The sequence below is a fragment of the Homo sapiens genome, chromosome 17 (assembly GCF_000001405.40).
Source record: "Homo sapiens chromosome 17, GRCh38.p14 Primary Assembly".
Lineage (NCBI taxonomy): Eukaryota > Metazoa > Chordata > Mammalia > Primates > Hominidae > Homo > Homo sapiens.
This window is the reverse complement of record NC_000017.11, coordinates 73,163,689-73,178,041: the sequence shown is the minus strand read 5'-3', so window position 1 is coordinate 73,178,041 and position 14,353 is coordinate 73,163,689. Positions and strand designations below refer to the sequence as shown.

Here is a 14,353-nt window from a genome sequence, read left to right as displayed (position 1 = left end):
TATCCCAAGCCACGGAAATGAACAAGCAGGACCATGGACAAAGGGAAGGTTTCCTTTCTGTTTAAGAGACTCTTTTGCGGAGGTGTGCTCACGGGCAAGGAAGACAGCGGCCATTCATTTTCTCACTGGCAGAGTATCACAGCTTCCCCATAGCGTTCAGCCTTGGATTTGTATTAAGAAGCATGGTCCGGGGGACCAGGGGGAAGAAATGTCTGTTAAGATGCTGTCATTGATGAGACTCAATTTAAGAATTATTTTCAGTGATTTTTCTATGAAGAAATTGTATCATTTTTCTTATGCAAAAATGTTGCTGTTAGCAGTACAAGTGCTTCATGCCAATGGACCGGTGGGGGTGATTTGCAGGAAGCCGTCACACCCTTTTGCCAACCCTTTTTGCTGGTGGTGTTGAATTGAGGCAGGGACAGCTGGCTGGGGCTGGGCATGCTAGGCATGCAGTCTGTGATCTAGCATGGAATTCTCTGGGTAAAAAACTAGTTTATGCATAATGTCCTCCTCCCTATCGTGGCAGCAGTCTAGAAAAAATGACTAACTGGCCAGGCGGGGTGGCTCATGCCTGTAATCCCAGCACTTTGGGAGGCCGAGGTGGGTGGATCACTTGGGGGTCAGGAGTTCGAGACCAACCTGGCCATCGAGGTGAAACCCCGTCTCTACTAAAAATACAAAAAAAATTAGCTGAGCGTGATGGCACATGCCTGTAATCCCAGTTACTTGGGAGGCTGAGGCAGGTGAATCGCTTGAACCCGGGAGGTGGGGGTTGCAGTGAGCCAAGATCGCACCACTGCACTCCAGCCTGGGCAAAAAAAGCGAAATTCTGTCTCAAAAAAAAGACTAACTATCCCTAGATTTGAGATGAGTTAGTCAAATTATATTTATCACCCTCTGTTTAAAGCTGCTGGAGAATCTCTGCATTGAGGTCTTGCCGAGGCAATACAGGATGTATACTGTGTGTACACATCACACACATGCCTCCCATGTACACATGTGCATCACGTGTGCCTAACATGTATGTGCATGAATATCACACACACGTGAGCATGTCTTTCACATGCATGGTACTTAAGCAAACAAGATGAGCAGATGTAGACTGAGCCATGGAAATGGGCTGGAGCAGGGCAGTGGACAAGGGGAGGGTGACATACATGTGAAGCATCACACATGTGTTCTGTCATGCCACCTATATGCATGTACATTACGTGTGTGTTTATGTGTGCATGTGCTTGGGAGCACAAACTAGAGTGAAGGTACAAGTTGGGAACTTGAGAGCCTTAGAACACCATCCATGTCTCCTGAGAACTGGGATGCTGGTTAATGTTGAGAAAGCCACCAAGCCTTGGTTATTGTATTAGTCCATTCTCACACTGCTAATAAAGACATACGCAAGACTGGGTAATTTATAAAGGAAAGAGGTTTAATTAACTCAAAGTTTAACATGGCTGGGGAGGCCTCAGGAAACTTACAATCATGGCAGAAGGGGAAGCAAACACATCCTTCTTCGCATGGCAGCAAGGAGAAGTGCAGAGCGAAGGAGGGGGAAAGCCCCTTATAAAACCATCAGATCTCGTGAGAACTCACTCGCTATCACGAGAACAGCATGGCGGTAACCACCCCCATGATTCAATTACCTCCCACTGGGTCCCTCCCACAACACCTGGGGATTATGGGAGCTGCAGTTCAAGATAAGATTTGGGTGGGGACACAGCCAAACTATATCAGTTATGTTACACGAGAACCATTTAGCTTTCTTGTTAAAAAATCATACCCATGAAAAAGATATCAGCGTACTCAGCAATGTACATATCCCCTTACATGGGGACAGGACCCCTCCCAGGAACTGATAGCCCAGCCTACTGGGAGGGCAGAAGAAGCATGGCTGCTCCCTGGCTGCACCTGCTGAGTTGACAGGTAGTCCCAGAGAGCTGGTCGTGGGTCTTCCTCTCTTAAGACAAGCAGATTTCCTTCGGGGTCCTTGGCAATGTATTCTTTGTAAGGATCTGGGATGACTGTGTCTCCCTCTGTGTCCAGGGCTAAAACAGTCTTATTTGGTGGCCCCCAGCAGCCCTTAGGACTGGGTTCATCCTGGGCTTCCCTTTCTGTCTTCAGTGACTCCCACTGCAAAGGGGCCTTCTCTATGGCTTAAGCAACTGGAGCCCTGTCACTGAATAATTGGGGTGGACAAGGCTGTGGGGTATCATTTCAGATTTCGTCGAAGGTGGCTTTGCATCATATTCCTTAACAGGCTTTTCTAAAAGGATAGAACAATTTTATCTCTAACCAGGACATTTCTTTCCTGCTTCCAGGCCTAGCAGGATCAGGAGATGAACTTAGTATCCCCACTGTCGACACCAATGTCTAAGCAAAGAGGTGTTCTTTCCCTGCACCTCCCCCCAACGCAGCCCGTCCAGGAAAGAGAGAGTTGAGGAAAAATTGGCTGAGCGCGGTGGCTCGTGCCTGTAATCCCAACACTTTGGGACACTGAGGCAGGCGGATCACCTGAGGTCAAGAGTTCAAGACCTGCCTGGCCAACATGGCAAAAACCCATCTCCACTAAAAATACAAAAATTAGCTGGGCGTGGTGGCACGTGCCTGTAGTCCCTGCTACTTGGGAGGCTGAGGCAGGAGAATCACTTGAATCCGGTAGGTGGAGGTTGCAGTGAGCCAAGATCGTGCCACTGCGCTCCAGCCTGGGTGAAAAAGCGAAACTCTGTCTCAAAAAAAAAAAAAAAAAATTAGAGGCTGCCCATGGGAATGTTCCCAGAAATTCACATATTAAAAGCAAAACAAGCACTTAGGTAAAGGTTTACTCTGACAGAACATTTGATGGGAAATTTGGTGTTTTTGAATTTGGCAAAAATGTGGGATGAGACAAGTGATTGATTGTTGTTACTATAAGTTCCACTGCTTGGCTTGCCAGCTATTGGGATTCTTAGAATGATAAGCATTTTGGAAACACTAATCAGATCTTCCCAACCATCTATGGAAACTTTTGATAATTCTCTTGCCACCTTTCTTTCTTTCTTTCTATTTTGACTGTTTAAAGAATTTTTATTAAAGCAAGAATTTTACAATCCAAATTACGTTTCCCTGCTCAGTTATCAATTCTGTTACTTAAAACAGAACTGATATTTTGAGCTGTTCTACAGTAAAGAATTACAAAATTAAAGAAAGGAATGCTTTAAATTTTTGTACTTTGCTGAAAATTCTTTTCCCCAGGGTCTATAAAACACTAATTTGTTTTTATATTTTACTATTTTTATGGGTTTTTGTTGTTGTTGTTTTTAAATCAACAGGTAACCTAAGACAAGCATTAATTTGCTAGACCTTCAGCCACTCTTCTTTAGCAAGGCCAAAGGTCATGTGTGCCTTACACTGTAACTTTACTGTCTTCATTGAATAGTCACATTCAGAGCTGATCAGGAATATGAATCTTTTTTTCTTTTCTTTTCTTTTCTTTTTTTTTTTTAAGGGCAGGGTCTCACCATATTGCCTAGGCTAGTCTCAAAATCCTGGGCTCAAGCGATTCCCCAGCCTCGGCCTCCCAAAGTGCTGAGATCACAGGTGTGAGCCACCATCCCCAGCCCGGAACATGCATTTTAACAGTCCATTGCTTCCTACCTGTCTCTGTGATCAGCCTGTGCACTTTTCCAGCACGGTGCTCCTCATCTAGGGCAGCTGGGGCTGCGAGTTTTGGCAAGAAACACTTGTATTCCATCATGGAGAGAAGGTTAAATTTGTGTAAGCAAATAGACTCCAGTTCACTGCCAGGTCTAGAAGCCTCATCCACTGGCCCGCGTGTTCCTCTCTGCATGCCATTTTATTCTCCAGTGTCCCTCTGCCATGCTATGTATGAACCCCACTTAAGTTTCTTTTTCTTCTTCCTTTTTTTTTTTTTTTTGAGATGGAGTCTTGTGCTGTCACCCAGGCTGAAGTGCAGTGGCGCGATCTTGGCTCACTGCAACCTTCGCCTCCCGGGTTCAAGCGATTCTCCTGTCTCAGCCTCCTGAGTAGCTGGGATTACAGGCACACGCCACCACACCCAGCTAATTTTTGTATTCTTAGTAGAGACAGGGTTTCCCCATGTTGGCCAGGCTGGTCTTGAACTCCTGACCTCAGGTAATCCACCCGCCTCAGCCTCCCAAAGTGCTGGGATTACAGGCATGAGCCACCGTGCCCAGCCCTGCTAAAGCTTCATCTACACGTCCAGTATTACCCAACTCTGTTACTGAAACACAAGCTAACATCATTCAACATAGGCCACAATATCATATTATTTTTCCCAATATCTTTTTCACTGAGTCCACTTAGGTTTAATCAGCACTTAACTACCCATGCTAATGGCGGGTAAGTAGCAGCTTGCATAACCCAAGTGATCAGATACTCTGAAATCAATGGGGTGCATTACTTTTTATTCCCTCCCAGCACCCAGCAGATTTGTCTTCATCATTAAATATGGAATGGAGACTAAAATTTTTGAATTAAAATGATGTTAACCTTTAAATTAGCATGTTGATTCTCTCTTTTAGATAAAAGAGAACCAGAGAGCAAGTTATCTTTGAAACAGATACTTCAAAAAGTAGAGAATAGCTTTCCCTATGGTAGAAACCTAACTGTGTATTTGGATGGAATTATAGCATCAGATTTAAAGGCCTGTCTTTTAGCCTTAGAATGGTCATCCTGCTGATGAAGACCCACAGATGCCTGGGTCTGCGTTTCATTTTCAGGTTACAGGTGGCTGCTTTGGACTCTGGCCTCCCTACAGGCAGTTTCTCTGGTTGCAGGGTCATGGGTACTATAGAATTAGTCTTTGTTTTTTTTTTTTGAGATGAAGTTTCGCTCTTGTTGCCCAGGCTGGAGTGCAATGGCACGATCTCAGCTCACCGCAATCTCCACCTCCTGGGTTCAAGCCATTCTCCTGTCTCAGCCTCCCAAGTAGCTGGGATTACAGGCGCCCGCCACCATGCCTGGGTAATTTTTTGTATTTTTAGTAGAGACAGGGTTTCACCATGTTGGCCAGGCTGGTCTTGAACTCTTGACCTCAGGCAATCCACCCACCTCAGCCTCCCAAAGTGTGGGATTACAGGCATAAGCCACCACGCCCGGCCTGTAGAATTAGTCTTCTCTGCCTTGAAATTATTTCTACCAATTCTTGGTCCCTTGGAATCATTTCCCTAAAACTCAGCATTTATTCAAGGACCCTGGAACATCTTATGTTATAATAATTGTAAAGTTAGGTCTAAAGCATTTTCTTCCAAATCTTTGCTTGTTTTTGTTTAAAAAAAAAAATCACACTTCGCTAAACATGGCTGCTAGGAAGCCCTGAGCTGAACTTACAGTTGACCTTACTTTTACTAATGGTGTGGGATTTTCCTGCATGCAATTTCTGCCACAACTTTTTCTGTAGTCTTGTTTTATAACTATACCTCTTTTTATTTTTGTATGGATTTATCTATCCAAAATCTTATTGAACATATTTTTCTGAGCCACAGGAAGTACTTTTGGGAGTGAGGTGGTGTGAATTTATACAGAACAAAAGCAGCACATTAAGAAGGACACCCACAGGTGGAGCACTTAGTCACTCCCACCGGCCAACAGCGCTTGCTTAGGGAGCCGGATGAGGAAAGCTCATTTAAAAATATGGTAACATCTATGTGTGAGATGCTGAGTGATGCTCTCAGATGAAACCCAAAGATGATGACATCCTTGCAGACACCCAGGTGTGTATTTCTTCATACTCTAGAAAATGATCAGTCAATGAAATGGATATTGTCTCTTTTCTTATCGCTTGTAAATGTCAGTTTGGGGAACGAAAAAAATGCCACTTTATGGTGTGAAGTGCCTGTCTACAATAGTCCTTGCAGAGCGGCTCAGTGAGTCCATGGCATTAAAGATATGACAGTTACTATGTATACAGTCAGTGAGGAAGGCAGCACAGCAGTATCTCCGAGAGGTGGGGCCCCACCAACACTCACACCACACCCCCTGCACGCTGCATATTCATTGGCAGGTGAGGGTGCTTTTGTTTTGTGAACAATGTCTTCTGGTCTTTAGTACGCATTGTGGTTTTCCTTTTTTTTTTTTTTTTTTTTTTTTTTTTTTTTTTTTGAGACTGAGTTTTGCTCTTGTTGCTCAGGCTAGAGTGCAGTGGCACAATCTCAGCTTACTGCAACCTCCACCTCCCAAGTTCAAGTGATTCTCCTGCCTCAGCCTCCCGAGCAGCTAGGATTACAGGCACGTGACACCACGCCCGACTAATTTACATATTTTTAGTAGTGATGGGGTTTCACCATGTTGGCCAGGCTGGTCTCGAACTCCTGACCTCGGGTGATCCACCCACCTCGGCCTCCCAAAGTGCTGGGATTACAGGTGTAAGCCACCACGCCCGGCCATGCATTGTGGTTTTCTTAATGCCCAGCTTTGTATGAAGTCCTCTAAAGTCCCCTTTGAGGAGTCGTCGAATTACATTTCCATTTTCTTTCATTAGGAAGCTATGTCTGGCCTGAAAAATAAAAACAATTTTATGGTTTCTCATAAAGGTGTAATTTTGCTTCACTCTTATTCACTTATTTTCACGATGGAGAGAATGAAATTGTTTCCCCACAGGAATCATAGTCCATTTTTTGCCTTTCATGTTAGTGATTTTTCCCCCTCATAGCTCCCTAAGAAAAACTAAAGCAATTTGAAAAGAAAAAAATGCAATCTTATAACAAAGTTGGCTTTGTCTTGATAAATACAATGATGGATGACCACAACCACTTAAGTCCTTTTGGGCAAATGAATAATTCTCTGACTATATCTGAGAAGTGGAAACACATGAATTTACATTCTGGTTCTTCAAATATCTTCTCCCTTTCCCTTCTTACATTGACCTCACTTGCCTGAAATTAATGAAGCAAATCCCCAAGGGCAGAGGCTAGAAGGTTTGTGAGGCTTGAAGCTTATACGAGGTTCCTCTTTAAGAAAAACAATACAAACATATCTTACTTTCACAATTTTTTACAAAAACATATGACCACATGAACATACTGCCCAAGTCCCTCCTGGGCCTTGGCAAGGCCCGTGCAAGAGAGATCCCTGAAGCTTGAACTTTATTGGCTTCACGGTAAGTCCATTTCTGCGGGCAGTGTGTTGTGGCAAATGTCCATCTACACTATGCATACTCGAATTTGCTACTTGTGTATGTAAACACAGGAACGTAGGTAATGCCTATACAGAGAATAAATAGGAATATACAAGTATACATATAAAAACACAAGATTACATATTGAGTTTTCAATACACAAACACACAGATACTTATTTTTTTCTATTTTTGTTGTTTCTAAAGATCATATCCAGGCATGATCCCTCTTCTCCAGACTTTGAATTGTCTACCTGCATTTCAGTGTTCGCTTTAAGGGGGAGGTAATCAATTTAGCACATTATCATTCAATCAGACAAGCTGACTCAAACACCGTTCTCTGAATTGGACTCATGCTGAGCAATCCTCTATTCTAGAAGCCAGGTGTGAGGGGTGGGAGGCAGGAAGCCAGTGTGGGTAGGGAGCCCATTGCCAGTAGACAGAGCATGGCTTGGTTCTTTCCCACCCCCCAAGCAGTTCAGATACTGGTTTGGAGGTCTCCATTGAGGAGGGTCCTCTGGGTCTCCGTGGTCTCATTCAGCCGGGATTTGTCCTGCTTACTGTCACTCCGCTCCCCATCATCTGTGCCGCTCACCTTGACCAAGCAGAGGACATTCTGGAAGCTCTTCTTGAAGTTGTCAGACAAGAAGGCATATAGGATAGGGTTGGCACAGCTGTTAGCATAGGTGAGGACCACCACAAAGTCAAACATGCCTTTAAGGGCTGGGGTGGGGCTGATGGCCATGGAGACGGAAGAAACGTTGAATATGTAGAAGGGAAGCCAGCAGAAGATGAAGACAGCCACCACGATGGACACCATTCGGGTGACCTTCTTCTCAGACTTCTTCCTCTTAGAGGAGCCCACTCGGATTCCAGAGGACTTCACCTTGATGATAATGAACAGGTAGCAAAGACAGATGATGGTGAGGGGTACCAGGAACCCCAGAATGAAAGTGTAGATGATGAACCCTGTGTACCAAGCCCCAGATTCACCTGGCCAGTTGATGGTGCAGCTGCTTCTCCCCCACTGGTTGCTCCGGAGCCCAGCATATATCATGATGGGCAAGATGACCAGCAGAGAGACTCCCCACACAGCCATGGTGATCATCTTGGCCGTCCGGGGTCTCCTCCACTTGGCCGACTTGATGGGGTGGACCACAGCCAGGTATCGGTCGATGCTCATGACTGTCAGGCAGAAGATGCTGGTGAACTGATTGATGCCATCCACAGTCATGACCACCCGGCAAATGGCCTTGCCAAAGGGCCAGTGGACCAGAGCCACCTGCATAGCCAAGAAAGGCAGACCCAGCATGAAGAGCTCATCTGCGATGGCCAGGTTGAGGATGTAAATGTTGGTGATGGTCTTCATCTTGGCATAGCGGAGGATGACATAAATGACAAGTGTGTTGCCACACAACCCAATGATGCAGACCACAAAATAGATGAATGTGAGGACTGCATTGCTTGTCAGGTCATAGTACGGCTCTGTCTGGTTTGAGGTGTTGGTTGACACCACAGAGCCATTGAGGTCAAATGGAATGGATAGCCATGTGTGGCTTCCATTGAGTGGCTCATCCGCCATGTCCATGGCTGCTTTTCAGTCTTAGGCTAGTTCCAGCCAGCCCAGAGATCTTATTCTCACCTTAATGGACCCTGGAGGCCAAGGATCCAGTGTGACATCTGGAAGGAAAAGAGGAAGATTGGCCCGTCGGTCACAGGCTGTTTAAAGTCTCACCAAATTTACACATTTCTGGTTTAGCCTCTCAGACATACTCTTAAATTGAAAAATGTATTATCTTTCCACATCAACATTAAGCTCTAGAGTTCCTCATCAGTGTGCAGACTTTTTGAGTTGTTTTTCCAATAGTAGGGAAGGGTTTGGGTTCAGCCATCATCTGCTGACGCACATGTCGGGGAGGGCTGTGGCTTCAAAAAGCACATACTTTGACCCCTAAGAAGTTGACTGATCTAAACTGCAGAAAGGCAGAGCTTGGAGAAGTTCAGCGCCTGACCTCAGAAGGGTCTGACACTGACATTCCTGGCCTCTTCCCTACCAGGAAATCTATGCTGACTTGCTGACTGCCTTGGAGTCTTTCCATTCTGAAAATGCCATAGTGGAAAAAACCCAGACTCTAGAGGCAGAACAAACCGGGTTCCACTGCTGAGCCCGTGTGACCACATGCCTGGTCCTTAATGGTTCTGACTCTTATTTCTTCACATGGGGGCGTCATGAAGGTTAAATGATGGAATATATGTGAAAATGCCTAGCCTTGCGTTGGGCTCATAATGGGAACCTCGTAAGTTGTTTCCCCCCATGTTTTCCTCTACCATCTCATTATCTCTGATTTATTGAAATCTACCTACGTGGTGAAACAATTTATAGTCTTCAGTATTAAAAATAAAAGTCTGGTTTGCTTTCATTTTTGAAATGTAGGCTTCAGTTTATTTTTTGTTTTTCTTCTATTTTTGTTTTCCAATACCTAATGCTTGACTTCCTCAAGAGCTCTTTCCCAAAGTCCCTAAGGGGATGCTGCTCCCAAGTGCTGTAACACTCCAGAGAATTTGCCTGCCATTTTCTAATTACGGACAAAAACGGGAAGCAGGTGTGGGACACAAGCTCTTTCACAGAAGTAAGCAGAAGGCTTCCAGTACTGATATAATTCATTCACACTCACGAGTCCCTTGATCTCCCCAACTGTCCTAGGTGGTAGGGATAATTACCCCCATTTTAGAGATGTGGAAACTGAGGCTTAAGAGAGTTTAAGGAGCTCACCCCATTCTCTTGCACATAATTGGTGGAGCTGGGATGTGAACACAGGCCACCTGGCCCCAAGTCTTTTGCACGTCTCAAGGCATCCCCTCTGCTCCTCAGTGGCCTAGAGACCGAACGGCTGATAACTGGGCTTTGGTTTGAAGCAACTGACTCCTGTGTTACTTCCTTGCTGAGAAAATAATTGGAGCACTATTGGCTTGGCTTAAGATCTAAAACAATAGTTCATCCCATAATTAAATGATTGATATACAGCCATTCAAAAAATATCACGGGGGTTGGGGGCCTGGAGAGGAGGCTTCTTTGTGCTGACAGCAGGGATGTAGAAATGAACAAACTTGGCCAGTGCCCTCTAGGAGGTGATAATTTAAAAGGGGAGATAGGAAAGGAAGCCAGCTCATATAGGGTGGGCATTGCACGAGAGATAAATGAAGGACTTAAGAATGCCTTCCTTTCCTGGGGGACTCAGAGGAGGCTTCCAAAGAGAAGTGTTTGAGCTGGGTCTTGGGTATATGAAGAGTGAAGCAGGAGGACAGCAAAGAGGCCAATCTAGGAAGAGGCGAGATGTTCAAAGGGTGGTGTGTTCAGCAGAGTGGGACTAATTCACTTGGCTGACACATTTCCCCTGAGCTAGGTCCTTTTCCTGGTGCCTGGGTGTAGATGGAAGATTACTTCTTAATCCTTGGAAAGACTGCAGATCAGTTAAAGGAGACTTGGCCAGCAACAAGTACTTGAGGATCCTTGCTCACCTTTGCTTCTGATTGATTCTGAACTGCCAGGTGCATTGCTCGTTCCTTCTGTGCTCATTTCCCTACCACACAACTGTCTGTGAAGTGAGATCTGGGCTTTGTGGCTGACCATTTTGTGAAGTATTTGAGGCACCTGGAATTTCATGTCTGCATTGCGTAAAAAAGCATAGACTGGCAGCAATTAAAACAGAAGCTGTACAGAAACTGTGGTTAGTATCCCTGGATTAACTTGGGTAGTTTCGTTATCACTTCTAACCATCTGGTCAGTTGGTTTAATTCTACAGAGCCAGAATCCTATTCAAGCTGCCTGCAATCAGAGTGTACCTTATCATGGGGATTTCCAGGGGCCCATCTATATAACATGAATGGTCACACTCCAATGTCTGAGTAACACGGAATCCCCCTGGGTTGGCAGAGCCCCTGTCTAAGAGCTTTTGGGCTAGGAACGATGATGGTGCAGGGAGTATGAGAGAGGGTTGAGTGTTGCTTTCCAGCCCTAACTCGGTCATTTTAACTGGAGTTTGAGTCAACAGGACAGAATTGCTTAATGGTAGCAACAGACAGGGTTCAGAGTCTTGGTGAAGGTGGTGGAGGTGGGAGGCTGGGGAGCCGGCTGAGAGTGGGAAGGCTCCTCTAAGCAAGAAATGAGCTTAAATCATGGGGAGTCTTATTTAACAAAGAAGTCAGCCGCTTAAGGTCTTCCAGAGACTTCTGTTTCATTTTTGTTTCAGAGAAAGAATATTCCAATGCCAGGCAGACAATTCTAGATGAATTGTGGTTAAATTAAATGTACAAGGAAGTTTCGTTTTCTGCATTCTTTGTTTTTCCAGCCCAAGAATTGTTAGATGCTGGAAATGGCTAGTGGTTGGTTTCCTCTGAACCATGTCCAGGCTCTGTAGAGAGGAGGGTGAGAATGGTCTCACGCACCTGCCCCCCCCGCCCCCCTTTTACATAGGGGCTGTGATTACCAGCCCAAGAAATGAGTGTTGGGATGGCGACCCGACATCAGGGGAGGTCCTAAATCCTACTCAGCTTCAGTTTCTCCTCTCCCCATCATGTTTCCCGCATTCACTTCCCACCCCCCGCCTCCCTCAGGGCCTGCAGAACCCGGCTTGGTCTCTGTGCGGCTAGAGCGAGAGCCCCCACTGGCAGGGTGACAAAAGCCCCTGAGGGCCACCGCGGCGCGTGAGCGCCTGGGAAAAGCCGGGGCGGTGCTGGCCTACGGGGTTGAGAAATGGAGGGGCGAGTGTCAGGACCGCGGAGCCGGTTGCTCCCGGCTGGCACAGAAAGTCCTCCTCCTGGCCATCCAACTCGCTGATCCTCAGAGCAAGGGTTTCCCAAAGAACTCTGTGCCATTTCCAGGAAGACGAGGCAAGAGCGGAGATTGTGGCGCCAGCACGCCCAGTATCGAAACGCACAGCAGGGGTGCCGGGTGTGGGGGGGGGGCGCTGAGGACAGAGACATCGGGGCGCAGAAGACAGTCGCTTGGGGGACTTGGCCAGCGGCTTTTGGGCACGGCCTATGCAGTGGTTTTTTCTCTCCAAACCTAGACAAACTGTCCTTTCTGTCCCGAGGTGGGGGACGGGGACGGATCCTAGATCGTTCAGCGTCTAGGGAGAGAAGCCCCTCTTTCTCCGCTCTGCGCCCGCCGCCTGCCTCTGGCAGGCTCGGATCTCCGGGTGCGCTCCCGCAGGAGCCCCAGCTGGCATCTCACGGCCTCGCTCCCCTCGCGCCAGGTCTCTTTTGTAGGGGGCTGGGAGAGAAGTTGTCACCCGTCGCAGCTACCTGAAATCTCGGGCTAAAGGGCACACGCCACGCACACGGGCATGAGGCTGCGAGGACACGTCCGTTCCAGCACACTCTACCCACAGCCCCCTTACTCAGGCAAGGGTACCCGTTGTCGTTCATTCCTACTACAATCACCCCAAAAGGCACAAGAGCGGAGAATCACGCACCGGGACCTAAGCTCAGGCACTCGGATGGGCACACCACCATCAGCGCAGATGCACACAGGTGCCCAAGTGCGCTTCTCGCTCCCTCCATCTCTCTTATCACACACACACACACACACACACACACACACACACACACACCCCTCACCTTTGCTTTTCCGCTGCAATCCGCTAGCTCCGGTCTCCGACACCCAGCGGCTGTCCCCGAGCCAGCTGGGCGCCGGGGCGCGCAGCAGCTTGGCTAGCGCCTGGCGCCGGACGTTTGGGGTTCCTGGCTCCTCGACCCTCTTGTGCCGGCTCCCGCTAGCCCCTCGCACGTAGAGAGCTCCCCTCGCCCGCAGACCCCCGGCGCCAAGCCTCAGACTGGGGCTCTGGGCGCTGGTGGTCTTGCGAGCGCGCGCGCATGGGTGGCTGCGCCGCTGGGACTGGCCCAGCCAGCCCGGGCCCCTCGGCACATTTCCCCACGCCCCCCTCCCGCTACGTCACAGCGGCTTCGCTCCGCCCCCCCAACCCCTCCTCCCGGGTCCTGCAGAAGGACAGGGGTGAGACCGGCTGAAACGCCTGCGGGTGGCCGCAGGCAGAGCTTACAGACAGCCGGGGAGCGGGGAGAGAGGGGACCCGCCTGCGGGGGCGTAAAAGGTTAAGCGTTTTCGGTCTCCTCAAGACTCATGGCAAGGACAAGCGCTATTTTCCCTCTGATTTCACAGAGTCGATTCCCTTCCACCCATATATTCTAGGCAGCTGGAGTGGCGGCCGGGGTGACCCAGACTTATACCGGGACCTCTGTGATTTCCTTAGCCAAACAAGTTAGCAAAGCTGTGTTTACCGTGGGCCAGCCCCGGGCGCAGGGCGCAGGGCCAGGCTAAGAGTAGGGAGAAAAAGGGCTCAGGGGATAGCGCTTCTCCATGCAGTTCCCAATGAGCGCAGGGAGTGTAAACCCGCACCTGGAGTCCAAGATTCAGTCCTAGGAGCCATCAGAGGGCCAGTGGACGTCGACTGGTCCCAGCTGTCCCTGCGTCCCACAGCTTGGAGGTGCAGCGGCCATACAGGTGGTCCCCTTGCTGTAGCCACGTCAGTCAGCACCTGCTGGTCTGACCCAGCACAGTCTCTCCTACATGCTGTGAGGGAGCAAAGGGGAGCAGGCAAGAAGTGGGAGTCGCATGGAGTTGCAGCTGTTTATTTTTGACTGTGATGATTCAGCCTCTTTTCCAATAGTTTAATAAGTCATAATCAATCCTGCAGCCTCCCCTTCCTCACCCTCCTCCAAGTACATAGGTATACACACACACACACACACACACACACACACACACCATCCTCAGTACAGTTTTAGAGGATGTGAAAACAGAAAGCAAACCCCAACTAGCTTTCTCTGTGAGCTGAGCTGCCTTGATTTGTCCATCCTATTATCTGATTTCCAATTCACCAGGGAAAAGTAAAAGTCCAGAAGCTGTGTGGCAGGTGGGGTGAGCCTTAGAGATAGATGAGTGACATGGAAAAGCAACCACCAGGTACAGCAGCAGCCAGCTCTCTCTTCTATCTGGGCCAAGCTGTATCTTGGGGTACCCACTGTGAGATGGGGATCAGGAGTTTCCATCTCTCTCTGAGACGTTGGTCATGATAGGGCTTAAATCTTGGCATCCTGGAGCTCAGGGTGAGATGGAAATTGAGCTGCAATTGCCTTAAGTTCCAGGAGTCAATCTGGGAGCCAGCATCTCTTTTAGACATGTGTATGCAAGTGGAAGGGC

The 14,353-nt window shown here is 47.9% G+C and overlaps 1 protein-coding gene across 1 annotated transcript, besides 3 other annotated features; it reads right to left on the bottom strand.

The window, feature by feature from the left end:
• Positions 1–1,408: 1,408 nt before the first annotated feature.
• On the bottom strand, positions 1,409–13,032 carry SSTR2 (somatostatin receptor 2). Its single transcript, NM_001050.3, has 2 exons — positions 12,754–13,032; positions 1,409–8,814 (listed from the first exon to the last, which is right to left on the bottom strand). The coding sequence occupies exon 2, from the start codon at positions 8,720–8,722 to the stop codon at positions 7,613–7,615; it is 1,110 nt and encodes a 369-aa protein (NP_001041.1). The 5' UTR covers positions 8,723–8,814; positions 12,754–13,032; the 3' UTR covers positions 1,409–7,612.
• Positions 7,179–7,757: an enhancer, noted in NCBI's record as "OCT4-NANOG hESC enhancer chr17:71166424-71167002 (GRCh37/hg19 assembly coordinates)". NCBI's record gives its function as "activates a minimal SCP1, AML or CMV promoter by ChIP-STARR-seq in naive and primed H9 embryonic stem cells {active_cell/tissue: H9 hESC(naive and primed)}" and the evidence as "EXISTENCE:reporter gene assay evidence [ECO:0000049][PMID:30033119]".
• Positions 12,778–13,117: a silencer, noted in NCBI's record as "silent region_8920". NCBI's record gives its function as "represses an Ori minimal core promoter by ATAC-STARR-seq in GM12878 lymphoblastoid cells {active_cell/tissue: GM12878}" and the evidence as "EXISTENCE:reporter gene assay evidence [ECO:0000049][PMID:35858748]".
• Positions 13,658–13,907: an enhancer, noted in NCBI's record as "active region_12688". NCBI's record gives its function as "activates an Ori minimal core promoter by ATAC-STARR-seq in GM12878 lymphoblastoid cells {active_cell/tissue: GM12878}" and the evidence as "EXISTENCE:reporter gene assay evidence [ECO:0000049][PMID:35858748]".

Bases quoted from the DNA above. Each gene is read 5' to 3' on its own strand.
- SSTR2 (NM_001050.3), bottom strand. From the start codon at position 8,722: ATGGACATGGCGGATGAGCCACTCAATGGAAGCCACACATGGCTATCC.